This window comes from Homo sapiens, chromosome 5 (genome assembly GCF_000001405.40).
Source record: "Homo sapiens chromosome 5, GRCh38.p14 Primary Assembly".
In the NCBI taxonomy this organism is placed as follows: Eukaryota; Metazoa; Chordata; class Mammalia; order Primates; family Hominidae; genus Homo; species Homo sapiens.
This window is the reverse complement of record NC_000005.10, coordinates 127,017,330-127,040,460: the sequence shown is the minus strand read 5'-3', so window position 1 is coordinate 127,040,460 and position 23,131 is coordinate 127,017,330. Positions and strand designations below refer to the sequence as shown.

The window sequence follows — 23,131 nt, the reverse complement described above, 5'->3', positions numbered from 1 at the left end:
GAGGATTGCTTTGAGGTGGGAGGATTGAGGTGGGAGGATTGCTTGAGCCCAGGAGTTCAAGACCACCCTGGGCAACATAGTGCCCTGACTCTACTAAAAAAAAAAAATCTGTCTCCTTGTTTCAGTCCTCACGGCTTTTGCAGTAGTCGAAGGCTTCTTCATCTCTCACCTACACATTGCAATGCCTTTGCCTCCTAAATGGCCTCCCTTACTCACTGCTCTCCTATGCCATCTTCTATCTACCTCATCACCACTTCTAATTATCCTTCCAAATCACAGGTCTGATCATCCACTCACAGACCTATCGTGGCTTTCCATTGCCTACAAAAATGAAAACCAAACCACAGAACTTAGCATGACAGTAAAAGCCCTGCATCTAGCCTCCATCTACTGTATCCTTCATGCATCTTAAACTCTTGTCTATTCCAGATAACTTGCCCTTGCATGAAAGCACCCTCACTTTGAGTGTCTCTTTGAGCATACCTTCCCTCCTTTCATCCACACCATCTTACAAAAATCATCCTTTTTGAGTCAGCTCAAATATCATTTCCTCCAGGAAATTTCCCACGACTTTCTTCCAATCCAAATTAATTAATCTCTCTTTCCTCCAAGTTCATACAGCTCTATCTATCTATCTATCTATCTATCTATCTATCTATCTATCTTCCATTGTCTTTATTAGAGATACAATTTGCATATCATACAATTCACCCATTTAAAGCGTACAATTGAACGGTTTTTAGTATAGTCAACGAAGTTGTGCAGCTGTCACCACAATCAATTTTAGGACATTTCGTCACTCCAAAAAGAAACCCTGTACCCACTAGCAGTCACCCATTTCCTCCATCCTTCCCCATCCCCAGCCCTAGGCAACCATCTGTTTTCTGTCTCTACAGATTTGCCTATTCAAGACATTTCATATAAATGGAATCATACGATATGTGGTCCTTTGTGACTGGTGTCTCTCACTTAACATAGCGTTTTTAAGATCCATCCATGTTGTAGCATGTATCAGTACTACATTCCACTTCATTGTTTAATAATAATAATAATAATAGTTCATTGTATGGGAATACCACGTTTGTGACTGGCTTCTCTCACTTAGCATAGTGTTTTTAAGATCCATCCATATTGTAGCATTATCAGTATACATTCCACTTCATTGTTTGAATAATAATAATACTTCATTGTGTGGGTATACCACATTTATCCATTTATCAGTTGATGGATATTTGAGCTGTTTCCACTTTTTAGCAATTATGAATAATGCCTCATCTAACACTTTGATTATACTTTTTATTATCATATGTGTGGCTTCAGGTTTTTGTTTGGTTGGTTGGTTTTGCCTGTGTCTGTTTTTATCACTTGATTATAAACTTCTGGAAAAAGATCATTATTTTCACTCTGAAATTTCCATACAGCAAGTATTCAATAAGTGTTTGGCAGATGGATGAATGGGCAGATATTATAGGTTCTTACCATGTTGATTATGAAGAAGTACAAAGTATTCAGAATAAAAACACTAAGCACAGTAATAAACCAAGGGTGTGCCAGTAAATTTACCCAGTAAATTATAACTTTCAAAAACTGACGGTTCTTAAATAAACTTTAATCTCTGCACTATTTCCGGGAATTTCACACATGGTTATTACAGTTGATTATTTCAGGGAGGCAGTTCCTCTGCTAATAATAGTTGTGAACTGGCTGGACAGAGGCCTGGAAGACACCAGACTTTCTCTTCTGAATTAACTCCACAGTGTTTTGTTGTTGCTCTTGGCCTGACCGATGTTACTCTTCTAGCCTAGAGTAGTGGTTCTCAGCTCTGACTGAGCATCCAAATCCCCCATGGAGATTTTTCAAGGCATAATTATCTAAATCCCACTGCCCAGATTATGATTCTGTCGGCTGAGTAGGGGTCTATGTGCTCACATGTTCTAAAAACTCTAGAGACATTTCTGATGCATAGCCAGGTTCAAGAATAACTATTTCAAAAGTCACCCACAGGTTAAAAAAAAAAAAAAAAAAAGAGAGAGAATTAATATTATATACCATGTATGAGCACTTTACTCCTGAAGAGTATTTTACTCATTCTGGGATCATACCCATTAATACTACCTAACATTTATAAGGTACTTTTTATTTGGAAAGAGCTTTGTAGTCATATTTTATTAGCTAGGCTTGCATGCTGGGTGACCTTGTACAAATCACATAATCCCTTTGTATCTTAAATTTCCTCATATTGTAAACTGTAATACTGACCTACCCTCAAGGGGTATTGTGGGGACTAATGGAGGACTATGAAGCACTCAGCAAATATAAAAATGTTACATGCATGCTTATTAGACAGGTATGAAGTCCTAGTCACAGCCTTTAAAAATGAAACAAATACCAAAATAAAACGTTTCAACAGTCCTTCCTGCAACCTTCATTATCATCTGTAAGATCCTGTCCTAACACAAAAGTACTGTACAGCAATTCCCCCTTACCACCAAGACTAATAAACAACACAGTCTGCAGTCACAAAGGAAGACAGGGCCAGTGATGGCAGCAGATAAGTACAGCAAACAGCCCTGAAATATAGTTTGCTAACCGTCTCTTATTTATCATTTATAATGCAATTAGAGATTATACCTATAATTACACTCTTCTGAAAAATATTCTTAGAAAACATTTGTGCACATTCACAGTCTTTAAACTGATGCTAACTACCCCCTGTTGATAGTAAGCCTGAAGTTGTTTTCCAGTTTAGTGATGAGTTTTGCTGGTCTTGCAGAGCTACATTTAACCCCTTCTCATGTTCCGCATGTGACTGAAAGAATATGTGATCAAAATGGGACCTGGAGACCTATTTCAAGTTGGGTGTGGGTGAGAATGAAAAGGCAGAGGAGAAATCTCTAACCTGAGAACGAGGGGCAGGTATTGTAAGGATGTTGACCCACGACCAAGAGTTCATTTACACTATATTTTCAGCTTCTTGAAAAAGGGAGGCAGAAAACAAATGTGGTTTTTCCTTGTTGTCATTTTGCTTCGAAAGAGTCACATAATTTAAAGGACCATGTTCATTTTCTGTATTCTTGAAATCAAGGAAAATGTCATGGTGTTTTTAAGACAGGGCAGAAATAAGGTACAATATCCTGGTATAGTGCTTGTTTTCCACATCTTTTAGGTGGGAGCTTTAAAATCTTAGGTGAAACTTAATCATCTTGGCATATTTTTCTTTCTTTCAAACTTCCTAAAAAACAAAAGAAAAAAACAAGCAAATAAACAAACATGGAGAAACATTCAACATTTTATTCACAAATCTCCATGACTTCAGTCGTAAAGGACAGTCTGTTGTGTAGTAAATTTGGGATTTTAAAATGTTCCATTTTGGCCAGGCACGGTGGCTCACGCCTGCAATCCCAGCACTTTGGGAGGCTGAGGCAGGTGGATCACTTGAGGTCAGGAGTTTGAGACCAGCCCGGCCAACATGGTGAAACCCTGTCTCTACAAAAAATACAAAACAACTAGCCATGCGTGGTGGTGGGCGCCTGTAATCCCAACTACTTGGGAGGCTGAGGCAAGAGAATTTCTTGAACCAGGGAAGCAGAGGTTGCAGTGAGCCGAGATCGCACCACTGCACTCCAACCTGGGCAACAAGAGCAAAACTCCATCTCAAATAAATAAATAAATAAATATAAATAAAAATACAAAAATTAGGTGTGGTGGCATACGCCTGTAATCCCAGCTACTTGGGCGGCTGAGGCAGGAGAATTGCTTGAACCAGTGAGCCAAGATCATGCCACTGCACTCCAGCCTGGGCAACAGAGTGAGACCCTGTCTCAAAAGAAAAAAAAAAAGATTTCACTCCTATGTAGTTATTTTTTCTGGAACAACACTGAGCTAAGGTGAGGGGCATGTTATTGATGGGCATCCTGAGTACACTCTCCAGAATCTACACTCGTTCTTTCCATTTGTCGCCATGTAGAAGTCAGGAATCCTACTTTCAAATCTCACATATGTCAGTTATTAGCTACATGATCGTAGGCAAGTCTCAACCTCTAAGTGCATCAATTTTTTAATCCATTAAAGGAGGAATAATATGTATCTCATTAGAGTGACGCGAAGGTTAGAAAAGCTGATGTGTGGAAAAATACCTGTAGACTAAGCACATATTAGCACTAGGTACAGCACATGTTAGAATAATGAGTGAATACGAGAAGTCAGAGATAAGTCCAACCCCCATTGCCCTTGGGCTGAAATCCATGTATTCATGGATTCATCCATGTATTTTGGCTGGGCATTCAGCATCCTGGGAAACCCGCTCCTTTCTACTCTCCTGCCCTTTCCCCACAACGGCCCTGCTGTAGTCAGATATTCTCCAAAACATCTTAAATTTGCCCACCTTCATGTCTGTCATTCCCACTAGCCACACTTCCATTTGCCAAAATTCTACCCATCCCTCATGGGCCCTGAATCCAACTCTCTCCAGGAATCCTAGGGAACTCTCACCCTCTCCTCCTCTGAACCCTGGTCCTTGCTGTCTGAGCACTCTAGGAGGCATAATTCATGAACCGCTTATTGTCTCAGAGACTGCAGGCTCTTGCAAGGTAGAGGCCACATAGACAATATCCATCTCTGTGCACCACCACCACACAGACTTTGGTGCCTTGCCAAGAATAGATGCATGATTGAATGAATGAACAATTTCTCACCCTGCCCCTGGCTTTGCTCTTGGACAAACCACTTTGCCTGTTTCAGTCTCAGTTGCCTCAGCTGTGAACAGAGGATAAATGCACAGATGTACTCCCCAGGTGTGCTGTGAAGAATAAACCAATGACTGAAAAGCAATTTGAAAATGTAAAAACAAATGCTATATATAAATGTTACATAATCAAAATCATTTCCCTCTGTATTATGTTTTATTTGGCTTTATATCTTCAAATCCTTCAAGGGTTTCAGAATTTCACAGGTGTAGTACCATCCGTATTAGCACCTAGATTCTCTTGGGTAATAAACAATTTTGTATATTATAGCTCACGGCTACTTTTCCCTGGCATTCTTACATGTGAATCTGTCATAATTTGGTGTATTCATAATCAGTAATGATACAATTCATTTCTAAGGGATAATCCAGCTTTTTCACTCATTGGCTGGCCAGTTATTGTTCCCATACTGCTGTGTCAAGGGAACTAACTCCCATTAAGTCTAAAATCTAAGTGCCTATCATTAGTTATTGCTGTCATCTCTGTGAAATTGGTCATAAGTACCACTGCAGTTTCCCAGATAGGAAACTAAGATATGGAAGGTTGATGACGTGCCCAAGGTATCAGAATGAATACATTGCAAAGCTAGTATTAGAATCTGCAGCTTCTGGGCCAGGCACGGTGGCTCACACTTGTAATCCCAGCATTTTGGGAGGCCAAGGTAGGTGGATCACTTGAGGTCAGGAGCTCAAGACCAGCCTGACCAACATGGCGAAACCCTGTCTCTACTGAAAATACAAAAATTAGCTGGGCCTGGCGGCATGTGCCTGTTGTCCCAGCTACTTAGGAGGCTGAGACAGGAGAATCGCTTGAACCAGGGAGACAGAGGTTGTAGTGAGCTAAGATCGCACCACTGCACTCCAGCGTTAGTGACAGAGCAAGACTCTGTCTCAAAAAAAAAAAAAAAAAAAAAACGAATCTCCAGCTTTGATTGCATTGATTGCATTTCTTTGCTAAGATCTTTAGCTCAACCTCTTTAAATTGTGAACAACTTTCTCAGTAAATATATGTTGAGAGAGGTGGTAGGAGCCAGGGAGAGGAAAAAAATACTATCCATGTAAGTAAAATTTTCCTCAACTCTAGGTCTGCTTCTACAATTCTTCCTGTTCTGGTAACTCATTCCTATTACACCTTCAAAAACTTTAGGTAACCAAAACTTTTAGAAGCTGTATTCCTCCTTAAAGAATAAAGATGGTTTCCTCTCATTTCCACTTAAATACTGAAAGGACAATAATCTAATGACATTAAAATAAATGGGCTGGGCGTGATGGCTCACACCTATAATCCCAGCACTTTGGGAGGTTGAGGTGGGCAGATGACTTGAGGCCAGGAGTTGGAAACCAGCCTGACCAACATGGCAAAACCCCGTCTCTACTATAAATACAAAAATGAGCCAGGCGTGGTGGCCCACGCCTGTACTCCCAGGTACTCGGGTGGCTGAGGCAAAGGAATCACCTGAACTTGGGAGGTGGAGGTTGTAGTGAGCCAAGATTGCACCACTGCACTCCAGCCTGGGTGACAGAGTGTGAGTCTGAGAACGAAAGAGAGAAAGAGGGAAAGAGAGAGAGAGAGAGACAGGAAGGGAGGGAGGAAAGGGAAGGAAGGAGGAAATTGCACATGTAAATGGAAAGAAAAATGTAAATTGCACATGTAAATAGGAATTGTTCATACCACACTATTTTCCCATCTCAACATCATTTTCATCTCCTTTTTAGCAGGCAGTACTACTGTAAATGCAATGCATTTGCAGTGCTTCATAACCATTGTCATGATGTCCCCTTTATGCAGCTACACATAGTGGGCCAATTCTGCCACTACTGTTTTATGGCCAAAGAAGGAAGAGATAACAAAGGATGAGTGACTGCCAGGAGCACCCACCACAGCAGCTGTTAAGATTAGAACCCATGGCTCCTACCAATCACATCCTATTGAAATTTAGGGGATTCTAAAATACTGTTTTAGTGTCATAAAGGAGTGACAGTGCCTGAAGACAATCTTACCATCCACAAAAGAACAAGCTTTGCTTCCATGGTCCCACCTGAATCTTCTCATTCCCAAGCCATTCCGTAAATTTCTTCATCTCTTTGAGTAAAAGAAATTTTCTTTCACAAAATAGATTGGGACTAAATAAGTGACTTCTGCGTTCAGATTTTGATGGTTCTCTGTTTGTTCCATACAGATAGTGTAAGCATGGGTTATTGGAGTAGTAAGAGATCTCATTTTCCCTTGTAGAATATGGGGATGGCCCAAACTCAAGAGATTGTTAGGGGCTCTTGTTGAAAATCAATTACAACAAAAGATGGTATGGAAATATGAATATAGTCCGAATATGCTGTCTTTTCCATGTCTTCTGGTCTACAAGGGAAAATGAGACCTATTACTTGTCCAAGAACCCATGGATGATCTTGTCTGTCTGAAACAAACAGAAAACCTTGGAAATCAGGACATGAAAGTCACCTAATTCTAACTTGTTTCATGACAGGACATTTCCTTTATTTCCATTTTTCATCACTTAATGTAAATACTAAAGTAAGTACAGTCATGACCTAGTGTTTGGCTCCTATTCCCGAAATGATTTTAAAAATAATAATCAGCATCTATGAAAACCTTCACAGGGTACTAATATGATAAGCACTGTTGGCAAATGTTTTCTCTAGTTATATCCTGAAGTGTGGTAGGAAAAAAAATCCAAGGAAGTATATTTCTTCCATGAGCATTTCCTGATAATTCTAGTCAAAGATGACGTTTCATGGCAGCCTCCGTGAAAGCAAACAGAAGAGCACAATTTTAAAAACACATCAAAGTGGAGTTCTGCTGGAATCAGGTTGGGAGTCAAGTCTTCTCTCTCTTTGGCCTTCTCTCCTGTAAGGCACCTCCAGCCATGTCCTTGCCCAATCCAGACCTGGGCAGAAACCTGGTGAATATTCCATTCATGTGGTCTACATCTAATACTTTATGGGCAAAGGCCATTCTCCTAGGCCAGTCAGCAGCATGCTAAGGAACCTCTGGAATTGAGTCAGATGGTCTTCCTTGCCTGTAGCAGTCCTTTGGTCCACAAGATAGAAAATAAAGAACTTAAGGCTGGGCGCAGTGGCTCACGCCTCTAATCCCAGCACTTTGGGAGGCCGAGGCGGGCGGATCACAAGGTCAGGAGATCGAGACCATCCTGATTAACACGGTGAAACCCCGTCTCTACTGAAAATACGAAAAATTAGCCGGGCGTAGTGGCGGGCGCCTGTAGTCCCAGCTACTTGGGAGGCTGAGGCAGGAGAATGGCGTGAACCCAGGAGGCGGAGCTTGCAGTGAGCCAAGCCATAGCACTCCAGCCTGGGCGACAGAGTGAGACTCTGCCTCAAAAAAAAAAGAAAAGAAAAGAAAGAACTTAAATATGGACAATGTTTGCATTACTGAGCAATTTTTCAGGGTCTGCAAAGGGCTATCCCTGCCCTAGTCTCCTGCCCTTCTGACAACCTTCCTATGGACCTTTTCCCATTGAGAAATGGAGCTGAGGAGACAGAATTGAAACTCAAACCAGGCCAGAGCTCACCTAAGAGGGGCCATTTCACTCCTTTTCAGCCACCAGCCCTTTACATTCCTTCTCCCTGGTGACCTCATCAGAACCTTCTCATGAGAGGTCAGCTATGATGCAAGACCTTATAGAGGCCAGATGGCATTGAAATAACACCTTGCAGCTCCCTTACATGTGAATAATTGCCCATACTGAGAGACTAAAACCCTTAGGACTTCTGGGACCTGAATGAGGCAATGGTCTGAAGTGGGCTTGCGCTGGAAGCAAGACGTAAGTGGTGAAGGTGAGTATCAGGGCAGCAGGTTGACCCCTTTCTTGTTATGAGCATGCATTCCTTCATTCTTACTAATACGGGTTAGGTGCCTACCCATGGCAAGAGCAGTTCTAGGCAGGGAGAGGCCCCTACCCACCCACAGCTGACGGTCTAGGGCTTGTTTACATTCTAGGTTTCAGCGGGAAAGCAAGAACACCCAACTCCCTGCTTTTGATTCTATGTTAGTAGCTCAGCGCGCCTGTGCGAGCACGTGCTGCAGCCAGGGTAGGGGCTCAGAAACTGGTTGACAAGATGAGCAGTGGGGTCCTAGGGGGTTGGGCGGGAAGGGCCCACAAGGCCATATTCCAGGCTGTTCGGCTGCGAGTGACCCCTGAGAGGTCGGGATCTCCGAGCTCGTCCGATGTCTCCATCCCAGCCAGGAGCTTGCGAAGGGGAAGGAGGGCGGAAGCAGAGTGGGACAGATGTGGTTCGTTCTGGGGCTTCCTGTCCACGAAGATGGATAATTCTAGCGACCCGCCTGGGATTTTGGAATCCTGGCGGACCCAAAAGACAGCAGAAGTCACCGCAGAGGATGCCACCCCGCACGGCAGCCCGCCCAGAGCGACGGTCTCACAGGTTCCGGCGCCGTCGAGCGCCCAAGCCTCCTGTTGGCCGCCAGCTGTGTCCGCGACGCGCTGGGTCGGGAGGAGGAGACCCGAGGCGCCGGTAAGTCCCCCGCTGCAGGTGGCCCGGAGGGCAGGGGTGAGGACGGGGACGTGTACTGAACTTTGGGAGGTTTGCGGGGCTGGAGTTTTGTTTCAGAGATAGCCAGATCGAGATCAGAACGTTTTCCAGAGAGCCCAGGTTTCCACTTGTGGCTGGGCGACCCGGTCCGGAATTCATCCTTTCTCGGCCCTCAGCTTCCTCCGGGCGGGGTTCCGATGGGGCAGCTAAGTTCCGCGCCTCCTGCCGGTGCCAGATACTGGCGTGTCGACCCGCGCTGCGGTTGGCTTCTTGCTCCACAGCGCTATGCGCGCGGCGGCTCCGAGGGCTCCTGGTCTCTCTCAGCCAACGGCCTTCTGGGGCCGCCGCCTCCCTCTAGAGCTGCTCGGGTCCCATTGCAGAGAGTCCCGCAGCGCCCGCCGGCAGCCACGGCACTTCGCAATAACCAACTTCCCCGCCGCCGGCGCGTCCCGCCAGCCTGCCCTCGGCCGCAGGCGACTGGACGGCGGTTACGGGGCGGTCCCAGCGCCACCACGACTGGCTGTCGGCTCCGCCAGTCATGGGCTGATGACGCCCCGGGGCTGGCTCCGCCCCTAGCGGCAGCCCCGCCTCCCCTCCAGAGCCTGGTCGGCTTAGCCCTGCTTTCCGCCTCACTCGTTGAGCAGGTCCGTGAATTGTCAGCGCGCTGTGGGCGACTGTGTGGCCGCGGCGGCCGCCAGGCTTGCCGCACTCCCCCTGAGGTGCCCGCCGGAACCAATGTGCCCTGGTCCACTGGGCCGTGAGCAGCCACCGACTGGGGGCAACTTGGCACTTAGAACCGCAGCAGGGACGTCGGTTTGCTATCGGGACTCGGCGAGGACGGTGAGTGGCCGCGCGCCGGGCTAGCGGCTCCTCTCGGCGCGGTTCGGCGGCGGCGAGAGGGGACGGGACGCGTCCTGGCGCTCGGCGGTCCGTTCGTCCGAGCGTGACCGCTGTGGGGAGGTCAGGGCTGGGCGGGATTTACTCCGTGCCAATATCCCCACTCCCGAACTTCTTCTTGTCAAAGCATCCCAACTCCGCCCGGGACGCGGTTCCAGTCCGCACCAACTTGGCGTAATTGACATGGGTAGGTGGGGCCGGGACGCGTCCCCTGCCCCTCTGCGGCAACGACATGGAGCGCTGGGGCGGCCTCCGCGCCCGCGGCGTGCGGACCGCGGTTCCTGAAAAATTACCCGCGCTGTGCGGTACGGTAAGACCCGGCGTCCGCGTCTGGATCTCAAGGCTGAGCGAGCGCTCATCGGGCTCAAGGTGGGTCTCAGCGCCAGAGAACTGGAGTACCAGCCGGGTTCTGTAGCGGGGGCTTCAGTGCTCTGCAGCTACTGAGAGGAATTGAGAGCACTGCTGGGCTTTGAACTTTCTAAAGTAATTGCTTTCTATTAGCACTTGAATCCATGACCCTCCTGAGGTGCTCGGACCTCCACATCCACCCGCAAGGGGTGTCCGAAGGACTTCGTTAGGACCAGGCGGGAGCTGCTGTCGGTTCTGGTGCCCAGTGCCTTGGAGAATCCTAGAGGCTGCGAAAGGGATTGCCAGCCTGGTCGGTTGGTGTTTGTTTGAGCACCTGCGTGTTTAAGTGATGAAGTTGAGTCAGGAATTGACAGCAGAGAACTCAAGGTTAAACCTGACACTCCGTTTGTGACTCGGTCTGGGTTAGATTGTTTTCCCCCCTTAATGGTAAGGGGGTAAAAGCAGCTTGTTTTTCTGAGACCAACTACATGCATGTAGTTTATATTATGTGCGGAATAAACAGAATTCAATACGATATTTTCTTACAATTCTTATTTGACATGAATAAGAGCTTTTGAAAATACTAGACAGAAACAGGTCCAGAATTTGGGGATGTTTAGACCTTTGAAAATACATGAAAATGTTGAGATATATAGTTCTGTATGTGTATATGAAGATGTAGATGCGCATATACACACATACATACGTGTATATGTGTGAGTGTGTGTATATATAAAATTAAAAGGTGAATGAGGTAAATATATGAAGGGGAAATTCAGCCTTGAACTTCCCTTGGGTCACAGAGATGGATCCTCTGAGCTGTGGGGTGTTAGTGAGTGTGTATGCGTAAGCATGTCTGCATCTGCCTGGTCTGTCTGGGTCAGAGTATGTCCATGAACTTTACGAGCGTTCAGTTCAATACCACTCAGTGCAGAATCCGCGTTCCTGTTTTACAGCCCAGCAGCCGCCAGCCGGCCCATCTGTTAAAACATAACATGTACACTTCAGTCCGACCACTGGGGTGGAGCCTGGGTAGGGGGCAACTCTTAGCAGAAACAACATGCTACAAACAAAGCCTGCCTCTCAAGTTCTATTTTCATTCAATATTTGGCCTGAACTTGAAGTTTTGGTGAGGGAGAAGGAAGTGTTTGTCTCTAGAAATGGCAAACTGCATTTTGTGAAATAATTATAGCCACGGCTTGGGGAGGGGGAGCTTGTAGGAGAGAAAAAAAAATCCCTCCAGAAATGTGGTGCTTGTCACATCACCATGCAACACGGGTTTACAGCTTTGCAGTATGGCATGTATATCAGAAACTGTTTGCTTTTGCTTGTTAAAATAATGCATTAAAACTGAATCATTTTGCACCAAAAAAAAAAAAAAACCTACCTTAATAGAAGTAAACAGAGCTTTATTGCAGAGGCTATAATTAAGACTGCCTTGGTATTTCTAATGAAACATACTTTTAGGAATTTATAACCTGGACATATATTCATAGTCAGTCTAATCACTAGTTGCAATGATTCACAATTTATAGTTTTAAAATAATAAAAAGGCTTTATCACAAAAATTCTGATGACTAAAAGGGTATGGGAGGAGTATAATAGCTTAATAAGTTCTTGCAGCCAAGTGACTGATACTTTAAAAAACAATAAATTCCTTTAATAGCACAATTACTTTAGTGACAAAATAAAGGCAGTATTTTTGAGAAGCATAGTTCATATTTTTCCCAATAATTTTATGCTCATAATTACATTTCAATAATGGTGTTCATTATATATGGGCGGAATAAACTGAATGGTTTTTAAGGGCTTATCACAAGAAGTATTGTTTTCAATTTTATGGTATATAAACATTTTGGGGAAAACATGCAAAACACTAATCTGTGAGTGTCTTTAAATTTCTAATGGACAATGTAGACATAATAATTTTCCCACCTTGATATGAATCATCCAAATTAACTAGGCTGTTTCTTAGAAATTCAGTTCTTGGGCAGGACTTCAGTCCCAGGGTTTCAATTTAGGAGTCTGGGATGGACCTTAGGAATCTGCATTTTCACAGGCACCCGCAAGTGATTCTGATGCCAGGGATCCCTTCACTGTACTTTGAGAAACACTGGAATTGTGTTAATGACATAAAAGAACAGTTATAGTCTGTGAGTTGATTTAACAAATAATTGTTGAGAAATGTCCAGGTGGCATTTACTGGCCTTGTGAAATTTATAGGTAATGCATTAACTCTCTGTCTTCAACAATGGACCCCTTTTGTCTTACATCTGAAAGTGTTTTGGAATCCTCAGCTATCCCTATTCCAGGTTGGCCCTGATTCTAAGGAAGTCTGCCTGATGAAACAAGACCTGATGAATTTAAGACCCACCCCACAAACCCCAGTCTTAGTTCCTTCACCCCCCACTCTGAGTTCGGTGGGGTCCTGGGATGCTCTGGGGTGACTTTGCCAGTCCTAATTCACATGGTTGAGCATTTCCTCCTGCAAGGTAGAATCCTTATCTTCATGAGGCACCCTTTTTCTCTTTAAAAGCTGTTCTAGAACAAAGCCCAGCACCTCAGCTGGGCTACTACAGACTATATGAGGTCAATGATCGCCTTGGGAAGCTGTGACTATTTTGCTTGTGGCCAGGAAGAGTGTCCCAGGCCACCCACCCAGAGGCCCAGAGATTCTTACTTTCTGAAAGTCACCTTAGGAGTATTTTGAGCTGCCCAATTAATTGGGTAAATAGATTTTCTCATTGTCACAGAGATGTGGGTTGAGAATTGTTTGCTACCTCCCCTTTCACTGAGAGCACTGTGAATTTTTATTAGTTATTGCCAATTAGTTTTTTATTTATCATTTGATACTGACATTTGGATTCTGTTCTCCCATTTCAGACTGGCATAATTCTCCATTTAAGACTACTAAATAAGGTTTGAAAGAGAAAGGATCTATCAGAAGTTACCCTTCCCTCTTTCTACCATCCAAGTAGCTAAAAAAACAAATGACTTCTTTCAGAGGTGAGAAGTATCCTGATAACAAAAGGATGTGTATAGGCCAGGGTATTAAACTTGGATTGTTCCAGACCACTGGATCGTCACTGGAACTTTTACAGAGTAATTTCTGTTTAAAGAAGCACTTGGCAGGCATGTTGATAGGTCACTTACCTTAACAATCCTTTGAGGACAATGATTTTTTTCCACTTTGTTACAGATGAGCAAACTGCAGCTACAAAAGGATAATATTTAGATCTTGTCTTTCACATTCAAAGATGACACCAATAACTGAGAAGTTGGCCTTGCAACTTAAATTGTTTTGATTTAGGATTGTGGTGATATGATAGGGTTATGCTTAGTCGTTCATATCATCTACAATTTTTTAACCTTTTTCTTCAAATTGTTTCTTATATTGAATGTGACCTTGTAGTAGTTTTCTTTATAAAGTTAACTACCATATATAATAATTAGTTCAATGACCCTGACCTTAACCAGACAGTCTTGACCCAGAGAGGCAAATAATTTGCTAAAAGTCCCAGATTACAAAAGCGGCAAAGCCTACGTATAGAATCCTTTAGACATGTGTTTTAGCCCTGTGCTGTTTTGTCTGTTGTCATGTTAAGCTGCTAATGTTTTCACTCTGGCAAAATAGGGTTGCTTTTATTTGCCTAGCTTCTGTGTGATTGGATAGACTTAGAAAAATGGAAAAGCCTAAAATATACTATCCACAGCCCCTGATCATACAATGGGACTGATTTCTGCCCAGTTACAAAAACTATAGTAGAATGCTGCTTTTCTTGAAACTGGGCCATAGGTCATTGCAAGCTTCTAAGCAACAATTCTATTATAACTTTTTTTTTTTTTTAGCTATGGCATTCTTCTGGCATCTAACTTTCCTTTGACAAGTTCTTTTCAAGTTTTTTATGCTTCTTTTCTTACCCTTATCCCCATAGCAAAATCTCCTTGTAAAAAATTCACTTTTTAAATCAGTCTGCCCTCTTAACATCTCCCAGTTCTTCCATTTTAGCCATTTTACCATTTCTCCTCCGAAATGCCCCCTTAAGTTCCCAACCTTCACTTTAGCTTTTTGGGTCTAGTAATATCCTCTAATATACGACAGTCATTGAGCTACAGAAGTTTCACAACAGCTTAAGCTTGTGGATTTAATGATAGCAGTAGTAAGAAGAAAGAAAAAGATGAAGGATAATACTGAAGTCATGTTGATATGTGTGTCATATTAGATATTCCCAGCTTACAGTGTCAGTGGGGAAATTTAAGATTCAGATGAATGAAGTGACAGATGCACTCATCTGTGGCCTCACAGACACTCTCCTGATACAAGCTGAAAAATATAACTGAAGACAGCATCCTGGGTTACAGAAGGAAAACAAATGTTAAGCTCTGAGAAAAGAACTGGGCAAAAAGTGAAGGGTCAGGGGTGGGGTGGGTAGGATGGTGGAAAAGAAATACCTCCAGTAAAATGCCAGACAGGGTGGTAAGAAATTTATAGAGGTGCAGACGGTTTGGGGTTTCTTGGGGGCATTGATTCTGTTTTATATTGTCCTCACAACCTGCTCACCCTGCTTGCTTTAAATAATTTATTATAGCAGCAGGCCTTCCCCTGGTTAGTTTCTTTCTTTTTTTTTTTTTTTTTAATAACTTTTTCCTTCTCATCTCTGGGTCTAATCAGAGGCATATATAATAGTGTGGCTGCCCTGGAGTACTTAGGAAAATCTGTGATCAATATCACTATATTATAAACCTATGGCTGTTTTGTTCTATTTTGCAATGTTTTCTTCCCTGTTATATTAACTCAGTATCTGTGTTTTAAACAATATTTTATTAATCTCTGCACAATGTTACTTCTTGGCTTATTCCTTTTGGCTGGAACTATCTTTTGAGTAATCCGTCATTGGACCACCATTGATCTAATGATGTATTTATTGCTCACTGTTGCAGTACTGGCAAGAAACCTAGTGCGGTTCTAAAAATTTGATTAAAAAGAAATCAAGTTTTTGCAATGCGTAGCCATCCAACTATGTTAGGAGCTGCCGAGTATATTTTATGCTAAAATATAAACATATTTCAAGTGAGCAAAATGTGCTGGTTTTGAAGGCTTTTAAAACTTTTTGCTGTGAAATCATAGAACAACAAGAGAACTCATAATTGGGAAAATTATGAGTACACTCCCCCACCCCTGCCAAAGGTAAGATGTGGTACTTTTTCAGATTATACCCTTGAACACTAAAATAGATAGACTTATCTTTTTAATTGACAATAATGAAAACAGTGGTGATAAGAACTAGCTCCCAGTCCTTCAGTGATATTTCAGGTAATCTTTACGAATGAAAGTGAGCTGAAATTAATTAACAAATACTAATTGAGTACCTATCATGGGTAGTACTTCTCTACTTAGCCAATTCAGGATTCAGTTCAAATATTAATGCCTTTGGGAAGCTTTTCCCTGTCCCCGTTTGACCTGATGTCTTCTTCAGGCAGAACCCTTATCTGCTGTATTCTCCCTCTTGGAGCCCCTTGAGGCAAGGGACCACACTTTTCATCTTGTAGCTTCTCAAGCAAGGTTACTCAAGAAAGAGTTGCTGGGTGTGCTAGAGGCTACAAAGAATTACAAGTGAACATTTACAAGGCCTTAAAAGGATATGCATAAAGATAGTTCACCAAAAGTTTGAATGGTAGCAGTAAGTGAATCCTAGTGTTCAACTGTCAACTTTAGCAGTGATCTCAGCACTTCATAGAATTATTATATCATCCATTCCTACTCCATCCATCTCCAAAGTCCCTCTGTTTCATTTCTACCTTGCCTCCTCCTCTCACTACCTTCCTATGTGTCTTCTCTAAGGATGTCTTCAACTCCCACCCTAGGCTAGGTCATCTCCCCTGATTTCTCTTTTGTTCCCATACCCCTTGTCATATCTTGAAAAGGCAGCTGACTCATGAGTCCTACTTTGAAACTTGGGACAGCTTCACTGTAATGTCATTTGAAGTTGAAAATGGCTTGGTTCCTTTTGTCATCCAATGCAGGTGACTAAGCTTTGGCTGTGGGAGGTTTAGGGGCCTTTGAAGAGCAAAATGGTGCTTGACCTGGAGGCTGCTAATGTCTGAAGTTCAGCACGAAGGGGAAGCTTGACATTTGTTGAGGGAACCTTTTTTTATTTTTTATTTTTATTTATTTATTTATTTATTTATTTATTTATTTATTTATTTATTTTTTGAGACAGAATCTCGCTATGTCACCCAGGCTAGAGTGCAGCGGCGCAATCTCAGCTCACTGCAACCTCCACCTCCTGGTTCAAGTGATTCTCCTGCCTCAGCCTTCCGAGTAGCTGGGATTACACGCATGCACCACCACACCTGGCTAATTTTTGTATTTTTTAGTAGAAATCGGGTTTCGCCATGTTGGCCAGGCTAGTCTTGAACTCCTGACCTCAAGTGATCTGCCCACCTCAGCTTCCCAAAGTGCTGGGGTTACAGGTGTGAGCCACCATGCCCAGCCTGAGGGAAACTTTTTAAAAAAAATAATTCCAGCAATTTTTTATTTTATAAACTAATTTTTATAATACAGTTGACCCTTGAACAACTGTACAGGTTTGAACTGTACAGGTCCACTTATATAAGCAGATCAAAAATACAGTATTGGCAGGGTTTGAAAGCCACATATAGGGAGGACAGAGTTTTTATATGTACATGGATTCCTCAGGACCAAATAGGGGACTTATATTGGTGGATTTCATTATATATGGATGTCCTGCAACCAGTCCCTCGTGTATACTGAGGGAAGACTGTAGTTTTCATTTATAAATCTCCTTTTGTTTAGAAAGCACCCTCTACATAGTCATGTTTAACACATGGTCTGATGGCTTAGGTAAACACTAGTCCTGGACAATGGGTTACTGAGGTCGTGTACAGACCATGCGTCCATGTGTACAGACCAAGGATCAGCTGAATTAAGCCTAACTACCTGAAGAGGCCATTAGGATAGCCTTTTTCTATTGGATCTTATGGGGCTTTAAATGATTGCAAGAGATCAAGGTCCCCTATTTTCTGTCTCATCTGGGAGATTGAGCCTCACTTAATGCAGGTGCTTTCTTCTCATATCTGCCTGCCAAGAAGAAAATAGAGAATTGAATGGTTAAGCCTAGGAGGTACTTAAATGTTTAAGCCCACATAGAAGATGAGCAACCCCAGATTAGGTCATGAACTCAAATGCTGGTTTCTCTTGGGTCTTGCAAATCAGGAGTACCTGTTTCTGCATATCCTGGGGCTTCTGCTTTTGCCTTTGGATCCGGGGGTTGGGAGGACTCAAGGGACGTTCCAGATGAGAGTGTAGAACCAATTATGTGCGGACCCTTTCTTGCAACTAGTAGATGTTCTCCCTGTGGAAATTTGCTTTGGCATTTTCCCATATCTTCTTTTCAGTGTCCTAACTATTAAATCTTGTTCCTCTTACACTTTGCACATACTGAGGTTCTCAGTCAGAAAGTTCTTACCTTTTGTTTCCCTAATTTCAACTTACTCCTTAATTCAGCCTCCAACTTCCAATACTGTTGTCCTTCCTTTGATATTCTCTTTCCCCATCTTTTCAGGTAAGAACTCCACTTTATAAAAGCTCTGTTACCATCAGTGTCACCATTAATCTTTTCCCTTCGAGAGTAATGCATTTTTGACCATTCTCAAAGGACTTGCTTAGAGCATTCCAATGTGATTTTCCGATGGGATATTACATGCTCTGACAGCCTACACAGTAAAAAAGTGATTAGCCTCACAAAACCTTAGTTCTCACCAACATTGCCCATCCTTGCCAGTGATACCTCCCCCTTATTTGTCTAATTACTCTTACCACCTCCCGCTCACTTATCTATCATTGAGAAACAAGATCATATGGCTCAAATAGCAACACACATATTTATTACAACAAGATGAGGTTTTCTATAAAACAAAAACAAGTATACACAGAATATGGAGAAGGGCAGGCCTACCCTGATTTCTTTAAAAACAGGACATGTGGACTGGTGTGTCTTTTGTTGATAGATTCTTAATTTGTTGTTTTCACTAGCTATGGTCTGTTTGTCTTTTGAGGCTAAGTTATTACTTTTATAGCTAATGTCAACATTTGTCACTTTTTTCATTCCCTTCAGAATTATTGCCAGTGAGTTTCGGGTTTTTCTTCATTTATTTTACTCTATTTTTTGTGTTTTGGGTGATCTACCTAATTAAGTTGTGTTGTTTCTAACCTCTTCATTTATTTTTCTACCACTTTCCTGCCCCTGGCAACATCTCACAGTTAGATACCATCCTTACATTGAATGAATTTCCACTTGCACTGCAAATTAGCAATGAAGACATTAAATGGAATCCCGATAGTGACCGTTTCAAGAGCTAAGGCACCATTTACTATTCTGTTTTAATTATGGTCTCTTAGCAAATTTTCACCAGTTATAATGTTCACCCCATTTTCCAAGTAATGCTTCTCAAATACTGTATGAAATTATGAAATCTGTGTGTATTATATTTTCTGCTCTCTGTTACATGCAAAATTTATAATTCTAAAAATTTCTTGTAGGAAAAATTCTTATTAGACTGGAATGGTTAATTTGGTTTCTTGCCATCCTGCTTTTTGCATGTTGTGAACCACTAGACATTGATGTAATCTTTTATTTGACTTCATTTCTAACCCCCACCTCAGTTCCCCAAGCAATAATCCTACTCCATCCCTTTCCTCCATAGTGTGTGTGTTGGTGGGGGGTGGGTATTAAATGGATATTTTTTCTGGTCCCTAATATTTTCACTTTTTAAAACTCTACATGGCTGAAAAAAAAAGCCAGTGTCAGTTGATGATATCTTAGTCTGTTTGGGTTGCTGTAACAAATAGATCAAGTAACTTATAAATAGCAGAAATTTGTTACTCACAGTTTTGGATGCTGGGAAGTTCAAGATCAAGGTGCCAGCAGATTTGGTGTCTGGGGAGGGCCTTCTTCCCCACAGATGGTGCCTTTTCACCATAACTTCACGTGGCAGAAAGGGCTAGCTAGCTCTCCAGGGTCTCTTTTTATTTTTATTTTATTTTATTATTTTTATTTATTTATTTATTTATTTGAGACAAGGTCTCGCCGTGTTGCCCAGGCTGGAGTAGAGTGGCACAGTCTCGGCTCTGCAGTCTTAACCTCCCGAGCTCAAGCAGTTCTCCCACCATAGCTTCCCGAGTAGCTGTGATCACAAATGCGCGCTACCATGCCCAGCTAATTTCTCCATTTTTTGTAGAGACATGGTTTCACCATGTTGCTCAGTCTGATCATGAACTCCTGAGCTCAAGGGATCTGCCCAACTTGGCCTCCCAAAGTGCTGGGATTACAGGCATGAGCCACCACAACCAGCCTAGGGTCTCTTTTTATAAGGGCACTAATCCCATTCAGGAGGGCTCATAATCAATTCTCAAAGGTCCCACCTTCTAATACTATCACATTGGGGATTAGGATTCAATGTCTTTTTGGGGAGATATAAATATTTAGACCATAACAGATGGTCAAGATTTTTTTCCTCTTTTCTGTTCAGGTAAGTCTACCTCCTTACAACATTGCACCTCTTCTCTGGAGTGCTTCTCCACTTTAATCCTCTTGTCCCTAAACAGTGTGAAGCTGTTTTTGCTTCCTTAACATCTGGCCTGTGCCTGGGATCTGTGATACTCCTATGTGATCTCTATTGAAACTCCTGTAATTGGATAAGAGCTGAGTTGGCTGCTTTATAGCAACAGAAGACCAATGAAAAGTATGCTTTGTTTAGGGAGAAGAACAGATGTCTCAGACAGGTGGGAGGTGAAAGTCAAAGTTATTAAGCACGTAGGGAAAGCCACAGACAGAGATTATTTGGTACTGGCTACTCATGCTAAAGTACCATCTTTCTATTGTGATTTCTAGGGTGTTTCCCCTTGGGCTTTTCTGGGTGACTATGCCAGTGTTGTAAATTAAAAAGCTGTCTCATCTCCTATCCCAGGATTCTTGAGATCACTGGGCTAGAATCAGAGTCCTAGTTCCTGTCCTAGACCTTCTAAGAGACAAAGAAATTAGTGATACTTCCAAATGGAAATGTCCACATGGAAGTAATGTGGTACACTTGATAGTATATCTCCTGCATACAAAACAAAAGACTCCAACTCAAATTGACATAAACAGTAAGGACGTGTATTATCTCATGCGAAAAGTAAGGCAGGTGGCAGGATTGGTTGATTCAGTGGCACAGTGATGTCATCAAGGAAACAGGGTCCTTTCATCTCTCTGCCTCTGTTGTCCTCAGGGACCATTCCAATCTAAGACTGGTTATTTTCTTATTTGCAAGATGGCTTCAGCAGTTTAGATGTTACTTGGAGACAAGACAATATCTACAGCACATAGCTGCCCCCGTTCCAAGATCTCCTTTTGAAGAATATGAAATTATTGCTAAGAAGAATCCCAGAGGACTTCTCAACTCACTGATCAGAACTGCTTTGCATGTCCGTCTGTCAGTGTCACTAACAAAGGACCACCATCATTGCCTGAGGGAGGGAGGAGATGTACTTGAACAAAGTTAGGATTCTGTTAGCAACAAAGAAGTATGTATAGGTATGTTGGGGGATGGGGTAGGGGGGTAGATGTTGGCAGGCAGTGTGTCTACTACTTGTCGTGACTTGGAAAATAACTATGAAATTCTCCTCATTACTATCTGGATACAAAATGGCAAGGCCTAGGCAAGAGAAAAGGCACAATGCAGACTAATTAAGGACAGAGGAATGTGCCAAAATCAATAATTATTCTGAGTAGAACCACAATAAACCCTAATGAACTTGAATGTACTAATTTATATCTATTTGTACTAAATAAGTGTATGATCTTTTCTGAATGAAAAAGATTAAAATAATTTGCTTATTTCTTAATAATTCTATATTTCTGGCATATTATTTTGCAGTATAGGCTATTTGAATATAAAATTTTTTATTAACTTTATATTTCATAGCATTAACAATACTGATAATTACTGATGAATGTAAATGGCCATTATTTATTGAGTACCCTTTTGTAAATTAGGATTTTAGCATCCAAGAGGAGCTAGTAATTTGCTTAGGTCACATAGCTACAAAGTGGCTAAGCTAGGATTAGACTCAGGTTCATCTTGCTCTCCATGGTTTCCCTTTGCTTGGAAGACAATCCCAAGACTACCATGGCTTACAGGGCATTGGGTGATTGGGCCTGCTTATCTTTGTGACCTCATTACTTACCCTCTGGCCCTCACTCAATTTTCCAGCCATACTGGCTTCCATGTTGTTAGTCTAATGAGCCAGTCCCATTCCCACCTCTGGTCCTTTGCATTTGCTGTTCCCTCCACTTGGATCACACATCTTCAGTTTGTATGGTGACATCCTTTCCATTCAGGCCTTTGAATGTCTCCTCTTCATAGGTGCCTCCCAGGACTACCCCATCTCATCTGTTAGGATCCCCTGCACTACCACCAATTTTCTGTTTCTGCCCCATTTTTGTTTCCTTCATGGTACTTGCCATAATCTTTTTTTTATTTTTATTTTATTTATTTGTTTATTTATTTTTTGAGATGAAGTCTCGCTCTGTCACCCAGGCTGGAGTGCACTGTCATGATCTTGGCTCACTGCAACCTCCACCTCCTGGGTTCAAGCGATTCTCCTGCCTCAGCCTCTCTAGCAGCTAGGATTACAGGCGCCCACCACCATACCTGGCTAATTTTTGTATTTTTAGTAGAGATGGGGTTTCACCATGTTGGCCAGGCTGGTCTTATACTCCTGACCTCAGGTGATCTGCCCGCCTTGGTCTCCCAAAGTGCTGGGATTGCAGGCATGAGCTGCCGCACGTGGCTTCACAATCTTATGTAATTTGCTCATTTGTCTACTTGTTTTTATCTGCCTCCCCTACTAGAATATAAACTCCATGAAGGTAGAGACCCTGTTTTGTAAAGCAAATGAACAAATGAGTGAATAAGTTAATGAAGGAATGAATATTTAGAAGTTTTGGCCTCTAATAATCCAGTCTTTATCTTCTACACTAGGAATAAAGTAGGATGCTGGTTGTCATTTGAGCTGAATATATCCCTCTCAGATTTTTTTCCTATAAAATTTAAAAACTAAAAAAAAGTTATTCATTTTGTTTGAGGATGAAAAAAGATACAGATATCAAAGTTCTTTGATATAAGCTTATTATGTCAAGTTTCAAGAGAGCTTAGTGTAGATAGTCCTCGACTTAATGATGGTTTGACTTTTTTCAACTTTATGATGGTACCCATACAACCATTCTGATTTTCACTTTCAGCATAGTATGCAATAAGTTACATGAGATATTCAACACTTTATTGTAAAATAGGCTTTGTATTAGATGAGATTGCCCCATGGTAAGCTAATATAAGTGTTCTGAGCATGTTTGAGATAGGCTAAGCTAAACTATGATGTTCTAGGTGTATTAAAGCATTTTGGTATACGATATTTTCAACTTATGTTCTGTTCATAAAGACATATAAACCCCTTGTAAGTTGAGAAGCATCTGTACAAGAGGGAAGTTTGAGTAATACTCAACTTTAGTTTTTTTAATTGATTGCAGTTTTAAGGACACCATTTTTAATTTG

General features: G+C 42.2%; 1 protein-coding gene and 1 long non-coding RNA gene across 4 annotated transcripts in view, besides 2 other annotated features; one reads left to right on the top strand and one right to left on the bottom strand.

The window, feature by feature from the left end:
• Positions 1-1,588: 1,588 nt before the first annotated feature.
• Positions 1,589-9,118, bottom strand: LOC105379163 (uncharacterized). Its single transcript, XR_007058920.1, has 2 exons — positions 4,695-9,118; positions 1,589-3,232 (listed from the first exon to the last, which is right to left on the bottom strand). It is a non-coding gene; the product is annotated as an uncharacterized LOC105379163 (long non-coding RNA).
• Positions 9,021-9,565: an enhancer, noted in NCBI's record as "H3K4me1 hESC enhancer chr5:126366588-126367132 (GRCh37/hg19 assembly coordinates)". NCBI's record gives its function as "activates a minimal SCP1, AML or CMV promoter by ChIP-STARR-seq in primed H9 embryonic stem cells {active_cell/tissue: H9 hESC(primed)}" and the evidence as "EXISTENCE:reporter gene assay evidence [ECO:0000049][PMID:30033119]".
• Positions 9,562-9,941: a silencer, noted in NCBI's record as "silent region_16289". NCBI's record gives its function as "represses an Ori minimal core promoter by ATAC-STARR-seq in GM12878 lymphoblastoid cells {active_cell/tissue: GM12878}" and the evidence as "EXISTENCE:reporter gene assay evidence [ECO:0000049][PMID:35858748]".
• The window catches only part of MARCHF3 (membrane associated ring-CH-type finger 3), a 162,845-nt gene continuing 149,616 nt past the window's right edge, over positions 9,903-23,131 (top strand). The window contains exon 1 of one of the 3 annotated variants that reach the window (NM_178450.5): positions 9,903-10,111. The gene's annotated coding sequence lies outside the window, so the exon portion shown is untranslated. Of the gene's footprint in view, positions 10,112-10,155; positions 10,538-23,131 lie in introns of those variants that run through there. The other 2 variants (XM_017009015.2, XM_011543131.4) reach the window with 2 other exon arrangements.